Source organism: Homo sapiens, chromosome 9, assembly GCF_000001405.40.
Source record: "Homo sapiens chromosome 9, GRCh38.p14 Primary Assembly".
NCBI classification, from domain to species: domain Eukaryota; kingdom Metazoa; phylum Chordata; class Mammalia; order Primates; family Hominidae; genus Homo; species Homo sapiens.
In genome coordinates, this window is record NC_000009.12 from 35,162,380 (window position 1) to 35,174,644 (window position 12,265).

Here is a 12,265-nt window from a genome sequence, read left to right on the forward strand (position 1 = left end):
TGACCGTCTCACCCAAACTTTACATCCCGTCCGTGCTTTGGGGGTCTATTATTTTGGCAATCACTTAACAATCACTTGAGTTCTTTCCACTTTCTTGTTTTCCCCCAAGCTCCTGCAAGGGACGATTAGCTCTCCATTCTGGTAGCCATGTGACAATGTTGTTGGACTGCAGGCTCAGATCCTATTAAACAGTGACTGGGGTTCTCTAGTGAGAGTGGACGAGTTAGAAGACCGCGGATGGTTGGTGCCTGTGAATGGTGGGCAGCCTCTCATTCTTTTCCTCCTCCTCGCACCGTAACGCTACAGTATGCTTAGTAGCAGGTTCTTTTTATCACACTTTGAATGCGTTAGTGGTACAGCTGTCACATCCCTTCTATTGCTTGTCTTGTCCCCTGCCACTTCCCTGAACACTAACCGGTAGTATAGGCTAAGATTATTCTTCTGTTCCACTTGGGAGGATGTGGTGACTGCTTTTGAGGATAAGAGGTATGATTTATTTTTATTTTTATTTTAGCTTGCCTCACAGTAACTCAAGGTGAAGGGCCATTATTGCTTTTCCCCTGAGGACACTTGACCCATCTAAGAAGATATCTTAAAGCAAGAGCTTTGGGGTTTAAGATGAGGCATGGTACGCGAACTAAGTTCTATGTGGGTAGAGACTGTTTCTTATTAGTTTTTGTATTCCTGGTGTCTGACGTAGTAGAAGCTTAATGCTGGTTTTGAATGAATGCAAGTACTGTGACTTCAGAGAGATTATCTGATCAGGAAAACACAGGGTTTGGATTAGCCATTGAATTTGATCTCGGGAAATTCAGGTTACAGCCTATCATATCTGATGTGTCTTGATTATGAATGAGAGAGCATTTATCAACTAGAGCCTTTACCTGATATCTTTTACTGGAGAGTTCATATTTCTTTTGGCTCTACAGATTAGAAGCATTGTTGTTGTTTGTGATTTCTCCAATAACGATGTTTCCCCCAGCTACTGGCAGATGAAACTGCTTTGCTCTGTTCTCTTCCACTATTTTGTTGAATCTGCATTAACCAAAATGGATTTGGCCATTTCCCGGGATTATGAGATATACAGTTTTTCTTCTTTCATGGTTGATTTTTCATTAATGAGAATTTTGCTTTGCTTTTAGTAAGACATTTTCTCTCAGCAGCTGGGAATCTATTTATTCCTTTAGATCCCTGCTGCTGAGTAGCAGGATTTGGGAGAGGTTGGACTTTGCTGTGTCTCTTGGACAGTTTAATTCTCTACGGCCACACTGTATTACAGAGCTGGTCCTTATGAAAGACTCTTTAGGCAGGAGCACTCGTGAATCAGAAATTCCTATTTAACTGAATTTATATAACTACTGGTGTTTTCATTTGTTTTAATAGCAGGCAGGTTTCATTGTCTAGAAATTCTGCTATTTAGCTAACTTCTTTCCTTTTTAATGTTACTTTAGTGAAGTTTCTTCTTTTTTGAATCTGGAGAAACGAGATCAGCAGGCCATTGTCTTTTTGAATAGAGATCTAGAAGATTTTAAATACTGAAACAAACAGGTACCTTATATGCAGATATTCATATTGAATGGCAAAGTATTCATTTTGGGAAAACTTACAGAAATGAATTGAAATACATCTTTATTTTTATTTCTTTTTCTTTTTTTGAGACAGAGTCTCATTCTGTCACCCAGGCTGGAGTGCAGTGCTGCGATCTTGGCTCACTGCAACCTCCACCTCCTGGGTTCAAGTGATTCTCATGCCTCAGCCTCCCGAGCAGCTGGAATTACAGGAGTGAACCACCAGGCCCGGCTAATTTTTGTATTTTTTGTAGAGACAGAGTTTCACTGTGTTGGCTAGGCTGGTCTTGAACTTCTGACCTCAAGTGATCCATCTGCCTTGGCCTTCCAAAGTGCTGGGATTAGAGGCATAATCCACTGCACCCAGCACAAAATACATCTTTCTAAAATGACATTCCTTGCGTTGTATTTTGGCAGTAGGAATGTTGTATTCTGAAAGCAGTCTATATAGTGATATTTATTACAACTCAATTTCAATTCATCTTGGAGTAGAATCAATTAGAAACTTCCTATGCAGAGTTCAAAAAGTAGTTAACTTGATGTAGAAATTGGCAAACTGGTATTGAATTAATCATTCCTAAACATTTCATTCAAGAAGTCAGTTATTTTGTCTTGCCCTTTAATCATGCCTTATTGCCTGCAGGTTTAAGGCTCTCAATACTCTGACTCCAGACTTGTGGCCTTCTATTCTTGCCTATCCTTATGCAGACTTTGCTCTAGCACTAACTTTGTTTATTCCTGCCTCTGCTCTGTTCTGCACTTGTGCCCCCTGAAATACTCGTTCCATATTTTCTGCCTATCTAAAATGTATTCTTACTTTCCCAGCTAACAGTCTACTTTTTTTGTTGTTGAAAACTTCTTCAGGTCCCCAGTCCACAGTGATCTCTTTTTCCTTTAAATCCTCGGAGCACTTGTGGTCTGAACAGTGCCACTAGTTTGGAAATGAATCATATGCTGCCTGCAACTGGTCTTGTATTGTGGTGCTTATGGTGACCCAGACAAAGGAAGTAATTGCACTGGTCAGATCAGATCTGGAATTTTGTGTTCAGCTGTGGTATTTCCTTCTAAGAAGCATATTGAGAAGCTAGGTTATCTTAAGAGGGGAGTGATTAGAATAATGAAACATGTAGGAACCGAACCATTTGAAGAATATGGGAAATTTAGTTGTAGAAGATTTAAGAGGAAGAGGATCACGATAGTACATGAAGACTGTTTAAAAAACTGTCTTGTAGAAGTTATGTCACCTTTTTTGTTGTCATTCCAGAGGACAGAACTGGGACAAGTGTGGATCAGTGGTTGAAAATGACAGGAAATTAGATTTTAGCTTAACATAAAGAAGAACAGTTGGGTTGTTCAGAACAAATGGAATGGGCTATGTAGATTTTTTGACACTAAACAGAAATTGAATGAGTGGTAAGGATTCTAAAGGGGATATTGACCATTCAGCGGGTGATTGACTTGAATTTTTTTTTTTTTTTTTTTTTAATTTTTTGAGATGGAGTCTCTGTTGCCCAGGCTGGAGTGCAGTGGCATGATCTCAGCTCACTGCAACTTCTGCCTCCCAGGTTCAAGCGATTCTCCTGCCTTAGCCTCTGGGGTAGCTGGGATTACAGGCGCCTGCCACCATGCCTGGCTAATTTTTTGTATTTTTAGTAGAGACGGGGTTTCACCATGTTGGCCAGGCTGGTCTCAAACTCCTGACCTCGTGATCTGCCCACCTCGGCCTCCCAAAGTGCTGGGATTACAGGCGTGAGCCACTGCGCCCGGCCTAGACTTGAATTTTTAAGAAACCACTCTTTTATAGAATTCACTTAGTCTTTCTTTAAATATTTCCATAAGTATAAAGAAATATAAGTCTTTAACATGTTTTGGCACAGCTTTACTTATAATACGGATACTTTTTTTGGGCTTCCATAGGGACCAGTGCCACATGAACAACTGCAGTAAACTAAATTAAGGATTTTGTTTGACTTTTATTGTCTTGGTATTCACGACCAAGTTTCTCCAAGCAATTATAAGCATTTTTAGAATCAGACCTTTCCATAATATTTCTCTGTAATTCCCAGTGTTTATAACATAGTTATTCCCAGTGTTTATAACATAGTTAGATAATTTAACTATGGATTTTTTTCCCCCAAAAGTAATAAATGCAGGCCAGTCGTGGTGGCTCTTGCCTGTAATCCCAGCACTTTGGAAGGCTGAGACAGGTGGATCACTTGAGGACATGAGTTTGAGACCAGCCTGGCCAACGTGGTGAAACCCCATCTCTACTAAAAATACAAAAATTAGCCAGGTGTGGTGGTGCTCACCTGTAATCCTAGCTACTTGGGAGGCTGAGGCATGAGAATTGCTTGAACCCAGGAGGCAAGGTTGCAGTGAGCCAAGATCATGCCACTGTACTCCAGCTTGGGTGACGAAGTGAGACCCTGTCTCAAAAAAAATATGTGTATGGTAATACATTGCTAATTATAGAAAATTTAAAAAATGCAGAAAAGTACAAAAAAAGAAAAAAATTTCCATGGGCCTACCACCTGCCAATACCATTGCTAACTTTTTTTTTAAATTTAATTTTTTTTTTAAAGATGGGATCTCACTATGTTGCCTAGGCTGGATTTGAACTCCTGGGCTCAAGTGACTGTCTTTTCTCAGCATCACGAGTAGCTGGGACTACAAGGAACACACCACCACACCCAACTATTGTTAACTTTTTAATTCATTGTTTTCATTTTGTTTTTATTATAAGGTGATAAATATACAGATAAGAAGTTGAAACAGTTTAGAGTGTAAAGTAGAAGGAAAAGTTCTCTTGTCCCCATTCGGTATTCTTACTTCCCAGAGGTAACTACTGTTTACTGTCTCTTACCTATCCTTCTGGAAATTTTCATTGCAGATGAGTATATAGGTTCTGCAGTTGAATGTACATAGCATTCTTCAGCTTTTTTTGTTTTTTAACCTCAATGATCTATTTTCCTGTCAGGTCATCTGAGTCTAAACCAAGCTTGTCCAGCCTGTGGCATGTGAGCTGCATGTGGCCCAAGACGGCTTTGAATGTGGCCCAACACAAATTTGTAAACTTTCTTAAAACATTATGAGATTTGTCAGCTATCATTAGTGTTAGTGTATTTTTTTTATTTTATTTTTATTTTTTGAGACAGTCTCGCTGTGTCGCCCAGGCTGGAGTGCAGTGGCGCGATCTCAGCTCACTGCAACCCCTGCCTCCTGGGTTCAAGCGATTCTCCTGTCAGCCTCCCAAGTAGCTGGGATTACAGGCGCCCATCACCACGCCTGGCTAATTTTTTGTATTTTTAGTAGAGACAGGGTTTCACCTTGTTAGCCAGGATGGTCTCGATCACCTTACTTCATGATCCGCCTGCCTTGGCCTTGCAAAGTGCTGAGATTACAGGCATGAGCGCCTGGCCAGTGTTAATGTATTTTATGCATGGCCCGAGATAATTCTTCTTCCACTGTGGCCCAGGGTAGCCAAAAGGTTGGACACCCTGGTCTATACCATTCTTTTGAATGGCTGCAGAGTATTCTGTTATATAAGCATACATAATTTAAACAGTTTTATATTGATGATATTCAGGATATTTTTCTTTTCACTATTACAAACAGTGCTACAATGAACATCTTTGTAGGTTTTTTTTTTTTTTTTTTTGAGATGGAGTCTCACACTGTTGCTCAGGCTGGAGTGCAGTGGCGCCCTCTCTGCTCACTGCAACCTCTGCCTCCTGGGTTCAAGCAATTATCCTGCCTCAGCCTCTTGAGTAGCTGGGATTACAGGTGCCTGCCACCATGCCTGGCTAATTTTTTTTTTTTTTTTTTTTTGTATTTTTAGTAGAGAAGGGGGTTTCACTATGTTGGCCAGGCTGGTGTTGAACTCCTGACCTTGTGATCTGCCCTCCTCGGCCCCCCAGAGTGCTGGGATTACAGGCGTGAGCCACCACGTCCAGCCTGTAGATGGTTTTTAAACATTTGTTTTTATTTTTGAGACAGGGTCTTGCATTGTCACCCAGGCTGGAGTGCAGTAGTACGATCGTGGCTCACTGCATCCTCAAACTCCTGGGCTCAATCTGTCCTCCCATCTCAGTCTCCTGAGTAGCTGGGACTACAAGTGCATGCCACCATGCCTGACTAATTTTTCTACTTTTTGTAGGATGGAATTGCCCTATTTTGCCCAGGCTGGTCTTGAACTTCTGGACTCAAGTGATCTGCCCACCTTGGCCTCCCAAAATGCTAGGATTACAGGTGTGAGCCACTGCACCTGACCAGTTTTTTTATTATTAATTTTTTTCTTTCCAACTTTTAAGTTCAAGGGGTACATATGCAGGTTTGTTACATGGGTAAATTGCATATTGCCATATTGCAGGGGTTTCATATACAGATAATTTTGTCACCCAGGTAATCAGCATAATACCCAAATAGGTAGTTTTCAGTCCTTACCCTCCTCCCACTCCATAGATGGTTTTTGTTATATGTTTGGAGATCTCCAATTAGCTTTCCACCTGGACTTTATGTGTAATTTTCTCATTGCTGTTTTCTTTGGCATATAATTATACTCAGTTGGACCAAATGCCTCGGTGTCTCAGATCAACATCCTCAATTAGAGGCAGATCCTTCAGCAGCAGGTAATATTTTTCTATGCCTGTTGAAAAGACCAAAGACTCTGCTCTTGTAAGTAAGTTTGACCTGTGATTTCCATGTACTTTTCTTTCTTATTTGTATTTTATTTTCCATATGAACATGTATTACTTGCTTTTTTTTTTTTTTTTGATACAGGGTCTCACTCTGTTGCCCAGGCTGGGGTGCAGTGGCATGATCACGGCTCACTGCAGTCTTGACCTCCCTGGGCTCAGGTGATGCTCTCACCTTAGACTCCTGAGTAGCTGGAACTACAGGCTTTCTTGTAGAGACAGGGTTTTGCTATGTTTCCCAGGGTGGTCTTGAACTCCTGGGCTCAAGCAATCTGCCTGTCTCAGTCTCCTAAAGTGTTGGGATTAACAGGTGTGAGCCACTGTGCCCGACTGCATTTTTAAAACAGAACAAAACAATGTCACTGGTGAATGGTAACAGGACCAAGTTGATTTATATTATGATTTGCCCTTTAAAAAACTCGTTACTGGACAGGTGAGGTGGCTCATGCCTGTAATCCCAGTACTTTGGGAGGCTGAGGCAAGAGAATCACTTGCATCCAGGAGTTTGAGACCAGCCTGGGCAACATAGCAAGACCCCATTCCTACTAAAAAAATATTTAAAAATTAGCTGTGCGTGTTGACGCATGCCGGTAGTCTCAGCTACTTGGGAGGCGAGGCAGGAGGATGGCTTGAGTCCAAGAGATTGAGGGTGTAGTGAGCCATGTTCATGCCACTGCATTCTAGCCTGGGTAACAGAGCCATCTCAAAAAGTTCATGGCTTATCATTAATCATCCATCTAACTAGACACGTTGATTGTGCATTGATTCTACTCTAGGGAAAGTCCAAAAATATATTTCGGTTTACAGCCATTGTGGAAAGTAGGAATGGTAATGATATTAGAGTTTTCAGACATAGGTATAGGTTGGTCAGATACTTCTCATCTCCTTCCCCCATCCTGCCACCCCCTGCTGAATGTTATTGTCATCTGCCTCAGCTAACTCCTTTTTGCTGGGCTTCCATCGATCGTGGTTCTAGTAGTCCCTGCCCTTAGAGCAGAGCTGTGGCTGTGTTCCTTTCACTTAGGGCCTCAGGAAGTTGATTGTGCTTTGTGTGAGCCAGGCAGTGATGGGGGAAAGGACCAATTTGCTCTGCTATGCTATTGTTATAAACTGTTCTGTTCCTTATAAGTAGCGTATTCTGTAATTTAGTTTCTAAAAATGGGGTTTCTGAAAGTTGGGCTCTTTAGGCCAATAAGCTTAATTTTTATCCTATTTACCTGTGCTGTGTATTTCAGACTTTGAGTTTGTTTAAAGTTTGGGCTGTGTATCATTAGTAAATATTTGTTGGATACTTTCTCTGTGCATGTTTATGACACAAATCTGTATTGTAGATAAGAGGCCACGGAATCTAGATAGGTTTTAAAATGTCTGTTATACAGTGTTCTTATATAAACTCAAATAATCCATTAGGATTATTAGGTCTGATTTGGAATAAGCAGAATAAATTAAGTTCTTCCTTGAGTAGGGAAATAACTGCACTGTCTTGTTTTAACATTTATTTTCACATTGTTATTATTACTGTTTTTTTTTTGTTTTGTTTTTGAGATGGAGTCTCGTTCTGTTGCCCAGGTTGGAGTGCAGTGGTGCAATCTCAGCTTACTGCAACCTCTGCCTCCCAGGTTCAAGCGATTCTCCTGACTCAGTCTCCTGAGTAGCTGGGACTACAGGTGTCCACCACCACGCCTAGCTAATTTTTGTATTTTTAGTAGAGATGGGGTTTCACCATGTTGGCCAGGCTGGTCTCTAACTCCTGACCTCAAGTGATCTGCCCACTGCGGCCTCCCAAAGTGTTGGGATTACAGATGTGAGCCACCACGCCCAGCCTTATTTTATGATTAGTTTTTTGAGACTGGATCTTGCTCTGTTGCCCAGGCTGGAGTGCAATGGTGCGAACATGGCTCTCTGCAGCCTCGACCTCCTGGGATCAAGTGATATGCTCATTTCAGCCTTCTGAGTACCTGGGACTACAGGTGTGAACTACCATGCTTGGCTAATTAAAAAAAAATTTTTTTTAGAGATGGGGTCTTGCTATGTTGCCCAGGCTGGTCTTGAACTCTTGGGCTCAAGCAATCCTTCTGCCTCAGCCTCCTAAAATGCTGGGATTATAGTCATGAGCCACTGTGCATTTAAAGCAAGAGTCTTTGAGTTTGGGGGTATTTTATATATACCTTCTCTTTTTTTTTGAGACAGGTTCTTATTCTGTTGCTTAGGCTAGAGTGCCATGGTGCTAATCAGGGCTCACTGCAGCCTCAATCTTGCCAAGCTCAGGTGATTCTTCCACCTCAGCCTCCTGAGTAGCTGGGACTGTATGCTTGTGCAACCATACATGGCTAATTTTTGTATTTTTTGTAGAGACAGGGTTTTGTCACTTTACCCAGGCTAATCTTCAACCTGTGGAGTCAAGTGGTCTGCCCGCCTCAGCCTCCCAAAGTGCTGGGATTACAGGCATGAACCACTGTGCCTGGCTCCTTTTTTTTTGAGATGGAGTCTCATTCTTTTACCCCGGCTGGAATGCAGTGGCTCAATCTTGGCCCACTGTAACCTCCATCTCCCAGGTTCAAGAGATTCTCCTGCCTCAGCCTCCCAAGTAGGTGGGACTACAGGTGCCCGCCACCACGCCCAGCTAATTTTTGTATTTTCAGTAGAGACAGGGTTTCACCATGTTGGCCAGGCTGGTCTCAAACTCCTGACCTCAGGTGACCCACCCGCCTTGGCCTCCCAAAGTGTTGGGATTACAGGTGTGAGCCACCATGCCTGGTCTCAAGTATAGTTTTTTAAAGAAAGAAGTCTCACTCTGTTGCCCAGACTGGAGTGCAGTGATGTGATCATAGCTCACTGTAGCCTCAAACTCCTGGGCTCAAGAGATCCTCCCGTCTCCGTCTCCTAAGTAGTTGGGACTACAAGCATGTGCCACCACACCTGGCTAATTTTTGAAAATTTTTTTGTAGAGATGGGTCTCCCTATGTTGCCCAGGCTGGTGTCGAACTCCTGGCTTCAAGCAGTCCTTCTCTCTGGGACTCCCAAAGTTCTGAGGTGACATGCATGAGCCACTGTTCCCTACCCCAGGCTAGTTTATTTTGATTAACATGTTTGTCAGATTCTTCCACTTGATGTGTGTGGCAGTTAGTTCATTGATTTTCGTTGCTATGTAGTATCTTGTTAGATGCATATACTGTTGTTTATTTATTTAATGTATTTCTTAATCTCATGACAGTGTAGATTAGATTATGTGGGGAGAAATTGGAGGCACTTGAATTATAGCAGGAGTGATTTAGATTAAACATAAATTAAAATTTCTTGATGAAATTTGAACTGCCACAGAAAAGCTGTGAAATTTATTTTTCTATGGCTCTTCAAAAATAAGCCCTATTTCCTTCATTTAAAATTTTATTTATTAATTTTTTTTTGTAGAGATGGGGTCTCACTATGCTGTCCAGGCAGGTCTCAGGTCTCAAACTCCTGGGCTCAAGGCCTCCTCCTGCCTCCGCCTCCCAAAGTGCTGAGATTACAGGTGTGAGCTACCATGCCTGGCCCCTTTGTTTTTTTTTTTTAAATTGATATGTCATAGATGTATGTGTTTTGGGGATATGTGTCATATTTAGATAAATTCATATAATGTGTTAATGATCAATTCAGGGCAATTAGGATATCTGTCACCTCAAACATCTTTCATACTGGGAACACTGGAATTCTCTTCTGGCTATTTGGAAATCTACAATAGATTTTCATTAACTGTAATCATCTTACTGAACTATCGAATACTAGATCTTATTCCATTTATCCAACTGTATTTTTGTACTCTTTAATCAACCTTTCTTAATCCTCCCTCTCCTGTTTCCTTTCATATACTATATTAGGTGTAACTGCTCTGGATGAGGAAGGTTAGATAACCAGCTTTGCATTTCCTGTTTTGTTGCAGTCTTTTCTTTGATTACTGGGAAATGGAATAAAAATGTAAGCATATGGTTAAAATGTTGTGTTCACCTTTATAAAGTACATTAAAAAATTCTTTTGTTATCTTTAGTAAAAATGAAATGTACTTTCTCAAGTGTGATGTCCAGAAATAATTATCCACTGGGTGTGTGAGAAAGGCCAATAGAATCAAAGGAAAAAGAATCATGAAATCTTTTTTTTTTGTGCTGATGAATCCTTTGGTGATAAAATATGTGGTAAAAATGTGACAGGAGGAAGTTTGTGCTAAGGTGTAAGGTCTATTTTTATCCTGTAAGTAGGGAGAAGCAATTCTTAGTCATTAGGAAATATAGGTTTCCAAAAAGAAGAGTGTTGTTTTCCTGCTGCTGCTTGGTTCTCTCTTTTGCTATAGTAAGTGCTTCTTTAGAGCTGTAGAAGACAGGCCTGTGGATTGTGTTGGGCTGTCAATTTTCTCTTGCAACTGTTTGCTTTATTGATTTCTATAGCGTTTCATTGTAAATGATGTTGAGAAGAGGTTAGAGGGCAGGGAGGGAGATCTGCCTAGCAACCAATAAGGGGCTGGCAGTTGGACAGTGGGAAGATAATTGCTTTTATATAATTAGAGTTGGGGCAAAGATGATTCGAAAGGCTAGATTACTTACATGAGCCAAATTAGTTATGAAGCAAATTTTAGAGACTTTGTCTGCAAAAGGATAGAGGAAATCTGCTTGCCAAGGAAAGGGGGGTAAATGATAGATATAAACCTGTATGTCTACCTCACTTCAGCCCTCCATTCCCACAATTACACCAGAGAGCATGTCACTCTTTGGAATGGTGCTCTCCTTTTGTAATCTTAATCTTCATAATCTATCTTTTTTTTTTTTTTTGGGGACAGAGTCTCACTTTGTAGCTCAGGCTGGAGTGCGGTGGTGCTATCTCGGCTCACTGAAACCTCCACCTCCCTGGTTCAAGCGATTCTTGTGCCTCAGCCTCGCGAGTAGTTGGGATTACAGGCCCTCACCACCATGCCCGGCTAATTTTTTTATTTTTGGTAGAGATGGGGTTTCACCGTGTTGCCCAGGCTGGTCTCAAACTCTTGAGCTCATGTAATCCGCCCGCCTCAGCCTCCCAAAGTGTTAGGATTACAGGCGTGAGCCACTGTGCCTGGCCAGAATCTATCTGATTGTATTCTTTAGCCCATTTTTACAGCTTATACTCTTGCTATGCTTTAACCACTGTGATATAAGGTAGATGTTAAAAGCTTTGGTTTTAGACAGACATGGCTTGGTGAATATATCAGCTCCAACGCTGTGAGTTGTCTGCCTTTCCATATGTTACCTCATCTCATTAAACCTTAATTTCCACATCTTTAAAATTCATATATTTGTTAGGGTAGTAGTACCAGTGATGGTGAAAATACCTATAGCAAAGTATTGCTGACATAATTGTTGTGAAAGTGATTAGTACTGTCCCAGGCATAGAATGAGTACTTATTTTAATATAAAAACAGTATTAATATTCTTCATCCAGCTTTATGATATCTATTCATCTAAGACAGGGAGCTGAAAGTCTTCCTAGACCTCTCTCTCTCTCTCTTTTTTTGAGACAGAATCTCACCTTTTTTGAGATAGTCTCACTCTGTTTCCCAGGCTGGAGTGCAGTGATTTGATCCCAGCTCACTGCAGCCTCAACTTCCAGGGCTCAGGTGATTCTCCTACCTTAGCCTCCTGAGTAGCTGGAACTACAGGTGTGTGCCACCACACCCAGCTAATTTTTTTTTTTTTTGTCGGGGGGCAGGGTCTCCCTCTGTCCTCCAGGCTGTAGTGCAGAGTGCGATCTCGGCTCACTGCAACCTCTGCCTCCTGGGTTCAAGCGATTCTCTTGCCTCAGACTCCCAAGTAACTGGGACTACAGGTGTGCGCCACCATGCTTGGCTAATTTCTTGTATTTTTAGTAGAGATGGGGTTTTGCCGTGCTGGCCAGGCTAGTCTTGAACTCCTTTTTTTTTTTTTGAGACAGAGTCTCACTCTGTTGCCCAGGCTGGAGTGCAGTGGCACGATCTTGGCTCACTGCAAGCTCTGCGTCCCGGGT

General features: G+C 41.6%; 1 protein-coding gene across 9 annotated transcripts in view; it reads left to right on the plus strand.

The window, feature by feature from the left end:
- The window catches only part of UNC13B (unc-13 homolog B), a 243,327-nt gene that overhangs the window by 371 nt on the left and 230,691 nt on the right, over positions 1-12,265 (plus strand). The window lies entirely within an intron of this gene.